The 18,539-nt window shown below is 37.6% G+C and overlaps 1 protein-coding gene across 18 annotated transcripts in view; it reads right to left on the bottom strand.

Moving 5' to 3' along the window:
• The window catches only part of KRABD5 (KRAB domain containing 5), a 48,322-nt gene that overhangs the window by 9,772 nt on the left and 20,011 nt on the right, over positions 1-18,539 (bottom strand). For 5 of the 18 annotated variants that reach the window (NM_001394177.1, NM_001394180.1, NM_001394178.1 and 2 more), the window contains one exon: positions 18,167-18,227. The exons of 12 other annotated variants lie outside the window; for them this stretch is intronic. In NM_001394177.1, coding sequence (NP_001381106.1) covers positions 18,167-18,194 — 28 coding nt within the window. In that variant the 5' untranslated portion in view covers positions 18,195-18,227. Of the gene's footprint in view, positions 1-18,166; positions 18,284-18,539 lie in introns of all 18 variants that reach the window. One more of the 18 variants, NM_001394179.1, reaches the window with a different exon arrangement.

The raw sequence follows: 18,539 nt of genomic DNA, 5'->3' as shown, positions 1-18,539 counted from the left end.
ATAGAAATAACTAAAATCAGATAACTGAATTAATTGAGACCCCAAATTCCATACAAAGCATCAGCAAAACCAAAAGTTGGTTCTTTGAAAGGGTAAACGAGATTGATAGACCACTAGCTAGGTTAACAAAGAAAAACAGAAGATCCAGATAAGCACAATCAGAAACAACAAAGGGGACATTGCAATCGATCCCACAGGTATACAAAAGATTCTCAGAGACTTCTATGCACATAAATTAGAACATCTAGAGGAAATGGATAAATTCCTAGAAACACAAAATTTCCAAAGATTGAATAGGGAAGAAACTGAAACCCTGAACAAACCAGTATCAAGTTCTGATACTGAATCAGTAATAAAAAATTTACCAACCAAAAAAGCCCTGGACAAGATGGATTCACAGCTGAATTATATCAGAAGTACAAGGAAGAGCTGGTATCAGTTCTACTAAACTATTCCAAAATATAAGAAGGGACTCCTCCCCTTTCATTCTATGAGGCCAACATCACTCTGTTACCAAAATCTGGCAAAGACACAATGAACAAATAAAACTACAGGACAATATCTCTAATGAACATAGACACAAAAATCTTCAACAAAATAGTAGCAAGCCAAATCCAGCAGCATACTCAAAGTTAATTTACCACAATTAGCTAGGCTTTATTCCTAGAATGCAAGGTTAGTCTAACATATAGAAATTTAAAAATGTGATTCACCATATAGAATCAAAATTTAAAAGCTAGGCGCAGTGGCTCACACCTGTAATCCCAGCACTCTGGAAGGCCGAGGCCGGTGGATCACCTGAGGCCAGGAGTTCGAGACCAGCTTGGCCAACATGGCGAAACCCTGTCTCTACTAAAAATACAAAAATTAGCTGGGTGTGATGGCACATTCCTGTAGTCACAGGTACTCTGGCGACTGAGGCATGAGAATAATTTGAACCCAGGAGGCGGAGGTTGCAGTGAGCACTCCAGCCTGGGGGATAGAGTGGGACTCCAGCTCCAAAAAAAATCACCATTTCAATATATATGAGATAAGCTTTTGATAAAACTTAATATCCCTTAATGATAAAAAAAAAACCCCTCAACAAACTAAGCATTGAAGAAACATACCTCTAAATGAGAGCCATCTATGAGAAACCCACAGCCAACACACTGACAAAGCAAAAGCTGGAGGCATTCCCCTTAAAAACAAGAATGAGAGAAGAACACCCTCTCTCACCACTTCTATTCAACATAGTAATGGAAGTACTAGCCAGAAAGATCAGTCAAGAGAATGAAATAAAAGGCATCCAAAGAGGAAAAGAAGAAAGTAACATCATCTCTGCTCATATGATTCTACACCTGGAAAGACTGTGCCAAAAGGCTCCTGAAACTGATAAGGAACTCCAGTAAAGTTTTAAGATACAAAATCAAAGTACAAAACTCAGTAGCATTTCTATACACCAATAACATGCAAGCTGAGTGCCAAATCAAGAACATAATTCCATTTACAATAGCCACACACACAAAGAAAAAACCGAATACCTAGGAATAGATCTAACCAATGAGGTTAAAGATCTCTACAAGAGGAACTATAAAACACTGTTGAAAAAAATGATAGACAACACAAACAACTGGAAAAACATTCCATGCTCAAAGAATCAACATCATTAAAATGGCCATACTGCCCAAAGCAATCCAGAGATTCCACACTATTCCTATCAAACTACCAACGTCATTTTTCACAGAATTAGAAAAAAACTATTCTAAAATTCATATGGAACTAAGTAAGAGTCCAAATAGCCAAAGCAATCCTAAACAAAAGAACAAAACCAAAGGCTTCACATTATCCAACTTCAAACTATACTATAAGCCTACAGTCACCAAAACAGCATGGTACTGGCATAAAAATACACACAGGGGCGGGGCCAATACAGCTGACTAGAAACAGTAGCGTTCGGAGGCTCCCATCGAAAAGAACAATAATAAGTGTGTGAATCTTTCACCAGCAACCAAGGTATCCAGATTCTCCCATCAGAACTGACTAGGAGGCTGGCATGATCCACAGAGAAAGTAATAACAGTGTGGTGTGGCTTTGAGAGCCACACAGGGGAGGAGAGCCCTGTCCTGCCAGCCAGAGGAGTCAGTGTGTGAGTGTGCTACTCAGCCAGGAAAACCATGCTTCTTCCAGGGAACTGTGCAACCCACGGATCGGAAGATCCCATTCGTGAACTCATGCCACTGAGTCTTAGCATCCCAACCCTGTGGCTGCACAGATTCTCAACAGCCTCTCAGCTGGAATCTGCTTAAGCCTACAGAGCACCTGCAGGGAGGGGCGACAAGCACCACAGCTGCATCTGCCTGCTGTCTAAGCCATTTGAGCTCCTTGGCAGAGGGGCAGTAGCCAGCACTGGGGCTCACAACTGCATAACATGCTAAGCTCCCAGGGTGAGGGAAGGGCAACATCCACCTCTATAGCTCCAGGCTGTGCTTTTCCCCTTCTGGAGTCAGGGAGGCTGCATGGCTTGGTCCCAAGATGTGTCCCTGACAACCCAACACACTGGCTGTGGCAGACTGCAGCCAGAGTGCCTCTTCAGGCCTGACCCAGGCCATCCTTTCTCACTGTGCACAGCTTCCCTGCAGGAACTCCATTAACTCCAGCCAGAGGTTCAGGGAAAGAACCCAGATCTCACTGGGCCTGAGCCCCTAGCGAGAGGGGTGACAACAGTCTCTGTGGACCAACAGACTTAGCCTTTCCTCCTGGTAGTTCTGAGGAATCCAGGCAGCCCAGACAAGTGGGTTTTTCCCCAGCAAAGCACACTACCTCCACCAAGGGACAAAGTGCTTCATTAAATGGGTCCTATTCCATGTGCCACCCAACAGGGTGAGACCCTCAACAGGGGTTGTCAGACACCCTATACAAGGGCAATCCTACTGGCATCAGGTTGGTGCCCCCCGGAGTTCAGAGTGGGACCTGACCATTGCAAGAAAAACAAACAGAAAGCAACAACAACAGCATCAACAACAACAAAAACTCCCACAAAAACCCCATCCAAGGGTCAGCAGCCTTAAAGATCAAAACTAGACAAACTCACAGAGATGAGAAAGAATCAACTAAAAAAAGCTGAAAACCCAAAAGCCAGAGTGCCTCTTCTCCAAATGATTGCAAGATCTCTCCATCAAGGGCATAGAACTGGACAGAAGATGAGACGGAAGAATTGACAGAAGTAGGCCTCACAAGATGGGTAATAAAAAACTACACTGAGCTAAAGGAACATGTTCTAACTCAATGCAAAAAAGCTAAAAACCTTCATAAAAGGTTAGAGGAGCTGCTAACTAGAATAAACAGTTTAGAGAGGAACATAAGCCAAAAGAACAAAGCTGGAGGCATCACGCTACCTGACTTCAAACTATACTACAAGGCTACGGTAACCAAAACAGCATGGTTCTGGTACCAAACAGAGATATAGACCAATGGAACAGAACAGAGCCCTCAGAAATAATGCCGCATATCTACAACTATCTGATCTTTGACAAACCTGACAAAAACTAGAAATGGGGAAAGGATTCCCTATTTAATAAATGGTGCTGGGAAAGCTGGCTAGCCATATGTAGAAAGCTGAAACTGGATCCCTTCCTTACACCTTATACAAAAATTAATTCAAGATGGATTAAAGACTTACATGTTAGACCTAAAACCATAAAAACCCTAGAAGAAAACCTAGGCATTACCATTCAGGACATAGGCATGGGCGAGGACTTCATGTCTAAAACACCAAAAGCAATGGCAACAAAAGACAAAATTGACAAATGGGATCTAATTAAACTAAAGAGCTTCTGCACAGCAGAAGAAACTACCATCGGAGGGAAGAGGCAACATCCAGAATGGGAGAAAATTTTTGCAATCTACTCATCTGACAAAGGGCTAATATCCAGAATCTACAATGAACTCAAACAAGTTTACAAGAAAAAAACAAACAACCCCATCAAAAAGTGGGCAAAGGACATGAACAGACACTTCTCAAAAGAAGACATTTATGCAGCCAAAAGCCACACGAAGAAATGCGCATCATCACTGGCCATCAGAGAAATGCAAATCAAAACCACAATGAGATACCATCTCACACCAGTTACAATGGCGATCATTAAAAAGTCAGGAAACAACAGGTGCTGGAGAGGATGTGGAGAAATAGGAACACTTTTACACTGTTGGTGGGACTGTAAACTAGTTCAACCATTGTGGAAGTCGGTGTGGCGATTCCTCAGGGATCTAGAACTAGAAATACCATTTGATCCAGCCATCCCATTACTGGGTATATACCCAAAGAATTATAAATCATGCTTCTATAAAGACACATGCACATGTATGTTTATTGCGGCAGCATTCACAATAGCAAAGACTTGAAACCAACCCAAATGTCCAACAATGATAGACTGGATTAAGAAAATGTGGCACATATACACCATGGAATACTATGCAGCCATAAAAAAGGATGAGTTCATGTCCTTTGTAGGGACATGGATGAAGCTGGAAACCATCATCTCAGCAAACTATCGCAAGGACAAAAAACCAAACACCACATGTTCTCACTCATAGGTGGGAATTGAACAATGAGAACACATGGACACAGGAAGGGGAACATCACACACTGGGGCCTGTTGTGGGGTGGGGGGAGGGGGTAGGGATAGCATTAAGAGATATACCTAATGCTAAATGACGAGTTAATGGGTGCAGCACACCAGCATGGCACATGTATACATGTGTAACAAACCTGCACATTGTGCACATGTACCCTAAAACTTAAAGTATAATAATAATTAAAAAAAAAAACAGAAACATAAATGACCTGATGGAGCTGAGAAACACAGCATGAGAACTTCATGAAGCACACACAAGTATCAATGGCCAAACGAACCAGGCAGAAGAAAGGACATCAGCATTTGAAGACCACCTGGCTGAAATAAGGCATGCAGACAAGACTAGAGAAAAAAATAATAAAAAGGAATGAACAAAGCCTCCAAGAAATACGTGACTTCACAAAAAGACTGAACCTACGATTGATTGGAGTACCTGAAAAACATGAGGAGAATGGAAACAAGCTGGAAAACATAATTCAGGATATTATCCAGGTGAACTTCCCTAACCTAGAAGTCAGGCCACTATGCAAATTCAGGAAATACAGAGACCACTACTAAGATACTCCATGAGAACATTAACCCCAAGACACATACTCATCAGATTCTCCAAGGTCGAAATGAAGGAAACAATGTTAAGGGCAGCCAGAAAGAAAGGCCAGGTCACCTAAAAAGGGAAATCTATCAGACTAACAGTAGGCCTCTCAGCAGAAATTCTGTAAGTCAGAAGAGACTGGGGGCCAATATTCAACATTCTTAAAGAAAAGAATTTTCAACCCAGAATTTCATATCCAGCCAAACTAAGCTACAAAAGCGAAGGAGAAATAAAATCTTTTCCAGACAAGCAAATGCTGAGGGATTTCATTACCACCATGCCTGCCTTGCAAGAGCTACTGAAAGAAGTACTAAAAATGGAAAGGAAAAACTGGTACCAGCCACTGGAAAAACACAAAAACATAAAGACTAATGACACTGTGAAGAAACCACATCAACTAGTGCACAAAACAGCCAAATAGCATCATGATGACGGGATCAAATTCACACATAACGATACTAACCTTAAATATAAATGGGCTAAATGTCTCAATTAAAAGACACAGACTTGCAAATTGGATAAAGAGTCAAGACCAATTGGTTTGCTGTCAGGACACCCATCTCATGTGCAAAGACACATATAGGCTCTAAATAAAGGGATAAAGGAAAATTTACCAAGCAAATGGAAAGAAAAAAAAAAGCAGGGGTTGCAATCCTAGTTTCTGACAAAATAGACTTTAAACCAACAAATATCAAAACAAGCAAAGAAGAGTATTACATAATGGTAAAGGGAACAACTCAACAAGAAGAGCTAACTATTCTAAATATATATGCACCCAATACAGGAACACCCATATTCATAAAACAAGTTCTTAGAGACTTACAGAGACGTAGACTCCCATACAATAACAGTGGAAGACTTTAACACTCCACTGTCAATATTAGACAGATCAACAAGACAGAAAATTAACAAGGATATTCAAGACTTAAACTCAGCCCTGGATCAAGTGGACCTAATAGACATCTACAGAACTCTCCATTCCAAATCAACAGAATATACATTCTTCTCGGTGCCAGATGGCACTTATTCTAAAATCAACCACATAATTGGAAGTATAACACTCTTCAGCAAATACAAAATAACTGAAATCATAACAAACAGTCTCACAGACCACACAGCAACCAAATTAGAAATCACCATTAAGAAACTCACTCAAAACCATACAATTACATGGAAATTGAAGAACCTGCTCCTGCATGATTCCTGGGAAAATAATGAAATTAAGGCAGAAATCAAGAAGTTCTTTGACACCAATGAGAACAAAGAGACAACATACCAGAATCTCTGGGATGCAGGTAAAGCAGTGTTAAGAGGGAAATTTATAGCACTAAATGCCCACAACAGAAAGCTAGAAAAATCTCAAATCAACACCCTAACATTACAATTAAAAGAGCTAGAGAGGCAAGAGCAAACTAATCCAAGAGTTAGCAGAAGACAAGAAATAACCAAGATCAGAGCAGACTTGAAGGAGATAGAGACATGAAAAACCCTCCAAAAAATAAATGAACCAAGGAGCTAGTTTTTTGAAAAAGCTAACAAAATAGATTGACCACTAGCTAGACTAATAAAGAAGAGAAAAGAATCAAATAGACACAATAAAAAGTGATAAAGGGGATACCACCACTGACCTCACAGAAACACAAACTACCACCAGAGAATACCATAAATATCTCTACACAAGTAAACTAGAAAATCCAGAAGAAATGGATAAATTCCTGGACACATACACCCTACCCTCCCAATACTAAACCAGGAAGAAGTCGAATCCCTGAATAGACTAATAACAAGTTCTGAAATTGAGGCAATAATAGCCTACCAACCAAAAAATGCCCAGGACCAGATGGATTCACAGCCGAATTCTACCAGAAGTACAATGAGGAGCTGGTAACATTCCTTCTGAAACTATTCCAAACAATTGAAAAGGAGGGACTCCTCAATAACTCAGTTTATGAAGCCAGCATCATCCTGGTACCAAAACTGGGAAGAGAGACAACAAAAAAAGAAAACTTCAGGCTAATACCCCAATGAACATTGATGTGAAAACCCTCAATAAAATACTAGCAAACTGAATCCAGCAGCACATCAAAAAACTTATCCACCACGATCAAGTTGGATTCATCCCTGGGATGTGAGGTTGGTTCAATATATGCAAATCAATAAACGTAATCCGTCATATAAACAGAACCAAAGACAAAAACCACATGATTATCTCAATAGATACAGAAAAGGCCTTTGATAAAATTTATCATTCCTTCATGTTAAAAACTCTCAATAAACTAGGTATTGATGGAACATATCTGAAAATAATAAGAGCTATTTATGACAAACTCATAGCCAATATCATATTGAATGAGCAAAAGCTGGAAGTATTCCCTTTGAAAATTAGTACAAGACAAGAATGCCATTTCTCACCACTCCTATTCAACACAGTATTGAAAGTTCTGGCCAGGGCAATCAGGCAAGAGAAAGAAATAAAGGGTATTCAAATAGGAAGAGAGGAAGTCAATTTGTCTCTGTTTGCAGATGACATAATTTTATATTTAGAAAACCAGTCATCTCAGCCAAAAAAAACTCCTTAAACTGATAAGCAACTTCAGAAAAGTCTCAGGATACAAAATCAATGTGCAAAAATCACAAGCATTCCTTTACAACAAGAATAGACAAGCAGAGAGTTAAATCATGAATAAACTCCCATTCACAATTGCTACAAACAGAATAAAATACCTAGGAATACAGCTAATAAGGGATGTGAAGGAACTCTTCAAGAAGAACTTCAAACCACTGCTCAAGAAAATAAGAGAGGACACAAGCAAATGGAAAAATATTCCATCCTCATGGATAGGAAGAATCAACATTGTGAAAATGGTCATACTGCCCAAAGTAATTTATAGATTAAATACTATTCCCATCAAACTACCATTGACATTCTTCACAGAATTAGAAAAACACTACTTTTATTTCATATGGAATCAAAGAAGACCCCATATAGCCAAGACAGTCCTAAGCAAAAAGAACAAAGCTGGAGGCATCACGCTACCTGACTTCAAATTACACTAAAAGGCCACAGTAACCAAAACAGCACGGTACTGGTACCAAAACAGATATATAGACCAATGGAACAGAATAGAGACCTCAGAAATAACACCATACATCTACAACCATCTGATTTTCAACAAACCTGACAAAAACAAGCAATGGGGAAAGGATTCCCTATTTAATAAATGGTGCTGGGAAAACTGACTAGCCATATGCAGAAAACAGAAACTAGACCCTTTTCTTGCACCTTATACAAAAACTAACTCAAGATGGACTAAAGACTTAAATGTAAAACCCAAAACCATAAAAACCCTAGAAGAAAATCTTGGCAATACTATTGAGGACATAGACATGGGCAAAGACTTCACGACTAAAACACCAAAAGCAATTGCAACGAAAACCAAAATTGACAAATGGGATCTAATTAAACTAAAAGCCTGGTTACCTACAGAATGGGAAAAATGTTTACAAACCACCCATCTGACAAAGGTCTAATATCCAGAATTTATAAGAAACTTAAACAAATTTACAAGAAAAAAACAACCTCATCAAAAAGTGGGCAAAGGATATGAGCAGACACTTCTTAAAAGAAGACATTTATGCAACCAACAAACATAAGAAAAACATCTCAACATGACTGATCATCAGATAAATGCAAATCAAAACCATAATGAGACACCATCTCATGCCAGTCAGAATGGCAATCATTAAAAAGTCAAGAAACAACAGATGCTGGCCAGGCTGTGGAGAAATGGAAACGTTTTTACAATGTTAGTGGGAATGTAAATTAGTTCAGCCACTGTGGAAGACAGTGTGGTGATTCCTCAAGGATCGAGAATCAGAAACACTATTTGACCCAGCAATCCCATTACTGGGTATATACCCAAAGGAATATAAATCATTCTACTATAACGACACATGCACACGTATGTTTGCTGCAGAATTATTTACAATAGCAAAGACAGGGAACCAACCCAAATACCCATCAATGATAGACTGGATAAAGAAACTGTGGTACATAAACACCATGGAATACTATGAAGCCATAAAAAGGAATGAGATCATGTCCTTTGCAGGGACGTGAATGAAGCTGGAAGTCATCATCCTCAGCAAACTAACACAGGGACAGAAAACCAAAACACTGCATGTTCTCGCTTATAAGTGGGAGTTGAACAATGAGAACACATGGACACAGAGAGGAGAACAACACACACCAGGGCCTGGTGGGGGCTGGGTGGGTGAGGGGAAGGAACATAGACAATGGGTCAACAGGTGCAGCAAACCACCATGGCACACATATACCTATGTAACAAACCTGCATGTTCTGCAAATGTATCCCCCATCTTTTTTTTTTTTGAGGAAATAAAGAAAAACAAAAAATTTTTTTTAAAAAAGGACACACAGACCGATGGAACAGAATAGAGCACCCAGAAATAAATAGAGGCACACACTTACAATCATCTGATGTTCCACAAAGTCAACAAAAATAAGCAATAGTGAAAGGACTCCCTATTTAATAAATGGTTCTAGGATGACTGACTAACCACATGCAAACGAATGAACATAGACGCCTACATTTCACCATATATAAAAATTAACTCAAGATGATTAAAGATTTAAATTCAGAAACTTAATAAAAATACTAGAAGAAAATCTGGCAAATACCATTCTAGACATTGACTTTGGCAAAGAATTTGTGGCTAAATTCTCAAAAGCAATTGTAACAAAAACAAAAATTGACAAATGGGACCTAATTAAAGAGTTTCTGCACAGCAAAAGAAACTGTGAAAAGAATCAATAACCTACAGAACAGGAGAAGATATTCACAAACTATCTACCTGACAAAGGCCTAATTCCAGAATCCATATGAAATTTAAATTAACAAGAAAAAAAATAACCCCATTAAAAAGTGGGCAAAGGGCAAGAGCAGACACTTCTCAAAAGAAGACATACAAGCAGCCATCAAGCATACGAAAAAATGTTACACATCACTACCCATCAGAAAAATGCAAATCAAAACCACACTGAGATACTATTTACACCACTCAGAATAGTGATTACTGAAAAGTCAAAAAACAGATGCTGGCAAGTGCCAGCAGTAAAGATAATACTTATACACTGATGATGGGAATGTAATTAAATTAGCTCAGTCACTGTGAAAAACAGTTTGGAGATTTCTGAAAGAACTCAGAACTACCATTTGACCCAACAATTCTATTACTCAGTATATACCCAATGGAAAATGAATTGTTCTACCAAAAAGTCACATGCACTCATATGTTCATCACAGCACTATTCACAATAGCAAAAACATGGAATCAGCCTAGATGCCCATCAATGGTGGACTGGCTAAAGAAAATGTGGTACATATACACCGTGGAATACTATGCAGCCATAAAAAAAATAAAATCATGTCCTTTGCAACAACATGGATGCAGCTGTTATCCTAAGTAAATTAACACACAGGAACAGAAAACCAAAGACCATGTTCTTATAAGTGGGAACTAAACATTAGGTACATATGGACATAAAGATGGGGAAAAGAGACAATGGGGACTCATGGGGGCAGTAAAGGAAGGAAGCAAGGGCTGAAAAACTATCTATTAGGCACTATGCTCATTATCTGGATGATGGGATCATTCAGACATCAAACCAGTGTAATGCAATATACCCATGTAATGAACCAACACATGTACACCTTGAATCTAAAATAAAAGTCAAAAGTATATTAAGAGAAAAAAGAAACAGAAAAAAATGGGGTCTTACTCTGTCACTCAGACTGGAGTACACTGGTACAATCATAGCTCAATGTAGCCTAGCCTCAAATTCCTGGGGTAAAGCAATCCTCCTGACACAGCCTCCTGAGTCACTGGGACTACAGGCACATGCCACAACAACTAATTAAAAAAAAAAAAAATCTTAGACGCAGGGTCTTGCAATACTGCCCAGGCTGGCCTCAAGTGATCCTCCTGCCTTAGCCTCCAAAGTAGCTGGGATTACATGCACACACCACTCTGCCTAGCAAAATATCTATTTTAAAGATGCTTAACCAGTTAAAGGAGAACACAGACAAATTAACAAAAGAAGACAAAAATGCATGAAGAAAATGAGGTTATGAACAGAGATTAAAACTATAAAAACACAAAGTATGGAGCTGAAAAATAACTAAATTTAAGGATTCACTAGAGGGTTCAACAGCAGACTTGATCTAGCAGAAAAATAACCCAACAAGCTTGATAACAGGTTATTTGAAAGTATATGGTCAGGACAGCAAAAATAAAAAAACAGAGTGTCTAAGGGACTAATGGGGTACTATCAAGTAGGCCAATGCTGAGACCAGCTCGGTCGTGGAGACCTAACCCAGCAGCGCTAGAGGAATTAAAGACACACACACAGAAATATAGCATGTGGAGTGGGAAATCAGGGGTCTCACAGCCTTCAGAGCTAAGAGCCCCCGAACAGAGATTTACCCACATATTTATTGACAGCAAGCCAGTGATAAGCATTGTTTCTATAGATTATAGACTAACTAAAAGTATTCCTTACAGGAAACAAAGGGATGGGCCAAAATAAAGGGATGGGCCAAAATAAAGGGATGGGCTCTGGCTAGTTATCTGTAGCAGGAGCATGTCCTGAAGGCACAGATGGCTCATGCTACTGTTTGTGGTTTAAGAATGCCTTTAAGCGGCTTTCCACCCTGGGTGGGCCAGGTGTTCCTTGCCCTCATTCCGGTAAACCCACAACCTTCAGCATGGGCGTTATGGCCATCACGAACATGTCACAGTGCTGCCGAGATTTTGTTTATGGTCAGTTTTGGGACCAGTTTATGGCCAGATTTGGGGGCCTGTTCCCAATAGGCCAATTTACTCATAATGGGAATTCTAAAATGCAAAGACAGAGGAAAGAGTAGAAACTTTATTTTAAGAAATGATGGCTGAGAATTTTCCAAATTTGAGGGAGAAAATGGCCTAAAATTTAATGAAACTCTACCAACTCTAATTAGTAGCAACATAAAGAGATCCACAACAAGACACATTATAATCAGAGATTCAAAAGTTACGAACAAAGAGAATTTAGAAGCCAGAAAAAAAAAAATGTGACTTGGCATATGCAAGGCCCATTCCTAGGATGACCAGCAGATGTCTCAGCAAAAAATCTCACAGGTCAGAAAGTTGAAGAATGATATATTCAAAGTGCTGAATAATGACAACTACCAATCAAGAAAATGTTTTCTGCCAAAACTATCCTTTAACAATTTTGAAATAAGGAATATTCAAAATCCACAAAAGCTGAATGAATTCATATCCACTAGATCTGTTCTAAAAGAACTGCTAAATAGAGGCAGTTCTTCACATTGAAAAATAAAATGATGGTGAGTAGTAACACAAAATTATATAAAAATATAAAGTGTTCTGGTAACAGTAATTATATACACAAGTAAAATATTCTGTATTATAATGATGGTGCATAGAATACTTTTAATTCTGCTATAGATTTGAAAAGTCAAATACTTTAAAATAACCACAAATCTGTGCTAATGGATTCACAGTATAAAGTGATATAATTTGTGATATCAATAAAATACAATGGAGAGTTCATAAAGAGGCAGGATTTTTGTATGCAATTAAGGTTAGCAGCTTGAGGTAAATTGTTGTAACTTTAAGATGTTTTACATAATATCTATGGTAACCACAAAGCAAGTACCTATAATAGATACACAGAGAGAAGTGGGAAAGGAATTAAAACATGTCATTACAAAAATCAACAGAACACTAAGGAAGATAGCAAGAGAAGAAAACGGGACCAAAATAGATACAAAACCCAAAACAAAAAATTGAACAAAATGCAATGGTGAGTCATACCTTTCAGTAATTACTTTATACATAAATGAATAAATTCAAAAGACATAATTTGGCTGAATAAATTCAAGAAACAAGATCTAACTCCATGCTTTCTAGGGAAAACCAACTTTAGATCTAAGAACACATATGAGCTGAACATGAAAGAATGGAAAAAAAATAGTGTGCAAAGTAAAATACTGTCATATTAGTTAAAATACATGTTACATCAAAACATGTTACAAGAGACAAGAAAGAGCATTATATAATTATAAACGGGTTCACTGTCTAGGAAGCTATAATAAATATTAACATATATGCACCTAACATCACACCTCTCAAATATATGCAGCAACTAGCAAACTTTTACAGAATTGAAGCAATAAGTAGCCAGCAGTACAATAGTAGTAGGAGACTTCCATACTCCACTTTCAGTAATGGAAAGAATAAGAGACAAAAGATCAATAAGGAAACAGAGGACCTGAACAACACTATAGACCATTAGACCTAATAGTCATATACAGAACTAACCATTCAACAGCAGAATACACAATATCCATAACCATATATGGCACATGATCACCAATAGACAACCTGTTAAGCTGCAAAAAAACTTTTACCAAATTTAAGCAGATGACAATCACACAAAGCATCACTTCTTACTACAACAGAATAAAACTAGAAATTAAAAACAGAAAGAAAAATGGCATGTCCATGAATATGTGGAAATTAAATAAACTCTCAAACACACTTTTGTTCAAGATTTTGAAGACAATACTGTTAAGATGTCAATACTACCTAAAGTGATCTACAGATTCAATGTACTCTCCATCAAAATATTAATGGAACTTTTTGCACAAGTATTAACATAGTCTAAAATGTCTACGGAATCTCAAGAGACCACAGATGGATAAATAATCTTCCACAGATGGATAAACAATCTTGGGAAAGAAAAACAAAGAGGCATCATACTTTCTGATTTCAAAATATACTACATAGCTATTGTACTCAAAACAGTCTGCTACTGACATAAAGATAAATAAAAGATGAAACAGATTGGAGAGTCCAGAAATAAACACTCATGTATATAGTAAACTTATATTCAACAAGGGTTCCAAGAATTCACAATGAGAAAAGGGACAGTCTCTTCAACAAATAGGATTGGGCATATTGGAAATCCACAAGGGAAAAAATAAAGTTGGACCTTACCTTGCACATTTACAAACATGAACTCAAAATGGACTGACTTATTTTTTGTAGCTACTGTAACTCACATTTTTTATTTTCTTTTTCAGATGGTTTTCTATCAGCACACAGAGATGCCACTGAAATTTCTATGTTGATTTTGTATCCTGCGACTTTACAGAACTTGTTCATTAGTTCTAACAGGTTTTTTGTGTCATGTTTATGTTTTTATTATAAACAAGGTCATATTGTCTGTAAACAAGGACGATTTCATTTTTCCATTCCAATTTGGATGCCTTTTATTTCTTTCTCTTGACTAATTGCTCTGGCTAGAACTTCTAGTACTATGTTGAATAGGAGTGGTGAAAATTGGTATCCTTATCATGTTACAGATCTCAGAGAAAAAGCTTTCATCTTTTCCCTGTTTGATATATTAACACTGGTTTGTCATATTTACTGTGTTGAGATACATACCTTCTATACATAATTTGCTTAGAGTTTTCACTATAAAGAAAGTTAAATTTTGTCAAATACTTTTTCTGTGTATACAAATAACTATAAAAAATTAACATACCCAGCAATAAACTTAAATAAAAAAGTGAAAGATCTCTACACTGAAAATCATAAAACATGGATGAAAAAATGAAATACATGTGAATAGATGAAAATATATTGTGTTTATATATTGGAAGAATATTATTAAAATGGGCCAGGCGCAGTGGCTCACGCCTGTAATCCCAGCACTTTGGGAAGCTGAGACGGGTGGATCACCTGAGGTCAGGTGTTCAAGACCAGCCTGGTCAACATGGTGAAACCCTGTCTCTATCAAAAAAATATAAAAATTAGCTGGGCGTGGTGGTGGGTGCCTGTAATCCCAGCTACTTGGGAGGCTGAGGCAGGACAATCATTTGAATCCAGGAAGCGGAGGTTGCAGTAAGCCAAAATCGCGCCATTGCACTCCAACCTGGGTGACAAGAGCAAGACTCCATCTTAAAAAAAAAAAAAAAAAGAATATTATTAAAATGGGCATGTTACCCAAAGTGACCTATAGATTTAACGCAATTTCTATCAGAATACCAATGACATTCTTCACAAAAATAGAAAAAAAAAAAAAAAACTAAATGTACATGGAACCACAAAATACCCTGAATAGCCAAAGCAATCCTGAGCAAAAGGAACAAAGCAGGCTCAAGGCATCACACTACCTGACTTCAAAATTTACTACAAAGCTACAGTATCCCAAACAGCATTATACTGGCATTAAAGCAAACACATAGACCAATATGCCCAATGAGTCCATAAATAAATTCATGCTCCTAAAGCTGACTGATTTTCAACAAAGATGCCAAGAACACACTTTGGGGAAAAGACAATCTCTTTAATAAACGGTGCAGGAAAAATTGAATATCCATATACAGAAGAATAAGACTAGACCCCTAACCCTCATCATATACAAAAACCAACTCAAAATGGATTATAGACTTAAATGTAATGCCCTAAACTATGAAACTATTAGATGAAAACAGGGCAAATACTTTACAACATCGGACTTGGAAATTCCGACTTCAAAGCAAAGGCAACCTAAGCAAAAATAGGCAAATGAGATTACATCAACCTAAAAGACTTTTGCATATGAAATGAAATAACAGAGTGAAGAGACAACCTAGACAATGGGAGAAAACATTTGCAAACTATACATATGACAAGAGGTTAATATTGAGTATATAAGAAATTTGAAATCTCAAAATAAAACAAACATACAATCCAATTTAAAAATGTGCCACAGACCTTCATAGACATTAGTGAAAAGAAGACATACAAATGGCCAAAAGGTGCATAAACAGATGCTCAACTTCACTAATCATCAAGGGAATGCAAATACAAACCACAATGAGATACCACCACACTCCAGTTAAAATGACTATAATCAAAAAGACAAAAAATATAACTAAAACAAGTATTGGTGAGGATGTGAAGAAAAAGGAACACATATATACTGTTGATGGGATTGTAAAGTAGTATGGCCACTATAAAAGAGTATGGAGGTTCCTGAAAAATTAAAAATACAGCTGTCATATGATTCAGCAATTCCACTATTGGGTATATATCCAAAAGAAAGGAAATCAACGTGTCAAAAACATAGCTGCATTCCCATGTTTACTGCAGCACTCTTTATAACAGCCAAGATATGAAATCAATCCAAATGTACACCAAGAGATAAATGGATAAAGAAAATGTGGTGTAAATGCACAATGAATTACTATTCAGCCATTAAAAAAGAATAAAATCCTGTCCTTTGCAATAACATGGATGAACCATGAGATATCATGTTAAGTGAATAAGCCATATACAGAAAGATAAACCCTTCATGATCTTACTCAAATGAGTAACCTGAAAAGAAAGAAAGAAAAAAAGAAAGAAAGAGAGAGAAAGAAAAGAAAAGAGAAAAGAAAAGAGAAAAGAAAGGGCAGGCAGGCGGGCAGGGCACAGTGGCTCACACCTCTAATCCCAGCACTTTGCGAGGCCAAGAGGGGTGGATCATTTTAGTTCAAGAGTTCAAGACCAGTCTGGCCAATATGTTGAAACCCCGTCTCTACTAAAAATACAAAAAAATTAGCTGGGCATGGTGGTGCATGCCTGTAATCACAGCTACTCAGGAGGCTGAGGCAGGAGAATACCTTGAACCCAGGAGGCAGAGGTTGCAGTGAGCTGAGATCACGCCACTGCACTCCAGCCTGGGCAACAGAGCAAGACTCTGTCTTAAAAAAAAAAAAGAAAAAGAAAAGGAAAAAAAAGCTGATATAAGCAGAGTATAACAGTGGTTACCAGAGACTGAAGGGGGAGGAATAGAAAGAGGTTGGTTAACAGGTATAAAGTTACAATTACACAGGAGAAGTAAGTTCTGGTGTTCTATTACACAGTACAGTAACAATGGTTAATAGAAGGGTATTGCATATTACAAAATAGCTATAAAAGGCCAGTCACAGTGTAACATGCCTATAATCCCTGTACTTTGGGAGGCGGAAGCAGGAGCACCACTTAAGGTCAGGAGTTCAAGGCCAGCCTGGACAATGTAGTGAGACCCTATCTCTGCAAAAATTTTTTAAAATTAGCCAGGCACGGTGGCATATGCCTGTAGTCCTAACGACTTGGGGAGCTGAGGCAGGAGGATCACTTGAGCCCAAGAGTTTGAAGCTATGGTGAACTACAATTGTGCCACTGCACTTCAGCCTGGGTAACACAGTGAGATCCTGTCTCTACAAACAATAAAAGCTAAAAAAAAAAAAAAAAGTTAGAAGAGAGACTTTTGAATGTTCTCACCACTAAGAATTACCAAATACATGAGGTAATGCACTAAACATCCTGATATGATCATTATACAACACACACACATATATATAATTGTACTCCGTAAATATGTACAATTAACATTGTATCAATTTAAAAAGCAAACTAAAACTTAAACATAAAACCTATAAATATAAAACTCCTAGAAAAATACAGAAGTGGAAAGCTTGGTCATGAAAATTGGTCTTGGCAATGATTTTTTGGATATAATATCAAAGGATGAGGCAACAAAAAGCAAGAACATACACATGGTACTACATCCGTGTATCCAAAATATTCCAAGCATATTCAAAACAGAACGCGGAATAGATGTTTGCACACCCATGTACCCTGCAGCATTACTCCCAAAAGACAATACCTGGAAGCAATCAAAATGTTCCTTTATGGATGAGCAGATTAAACAAATGTGGCACACATACACAACAGAACATTACTGAGCCTTAAAAATCAGAGACATTTTGACAAGTATTAATAAGGACAAACCTTGAGGACATTATGTCAGGTGAAATAAGATAGTCAAAAAGAAAGAGACACTGTTTAATTACACTTACATAAAGTATCTACAGTAGCCAAACTCATAGAAACATTAGGCAGAATGGTGCTCTTCAGGAGCTGGAGAGAAGTGTGGAAAGGACAATTTGTTGTTTAATGGGTATTCACTTTGACTTCTGTAAAATAAAAATGATCTACAAACCTCTTGTAAAACAATATGACTATACTTAACACTAATAAACTGTACACTTAAAAATGTTTGAGATGACAATTATGTTTTCACCATTAAAAATGTGACTACCTAAAAGAGATAGTTATAAAATGTTTCAAAAATCACCTTCAAAGAACAAAAGTGTTCCTCTCACATAATTATATAGATCCAAACAATAGATTGTGAATTTAAGATTATTTCCTTAACTACTCATCTAGACA

This window comes from Homo sapiens, chromosome 16 (assembly GCF_000001405.40).
Source record: "Homo sapiens chromosome 16, GRCh38.p14 Primary Assembly".
NCBI lineage: Eukaryota > Metazoa > Chordata > Mammalia > Primates > Hominidae > Homo > Homo sapiens.
The sequence above is the reverse complement of the archived record's forward strand: the minus strand, read 5'-3'. Positions and strand labels throughout refer to the sequence as shown.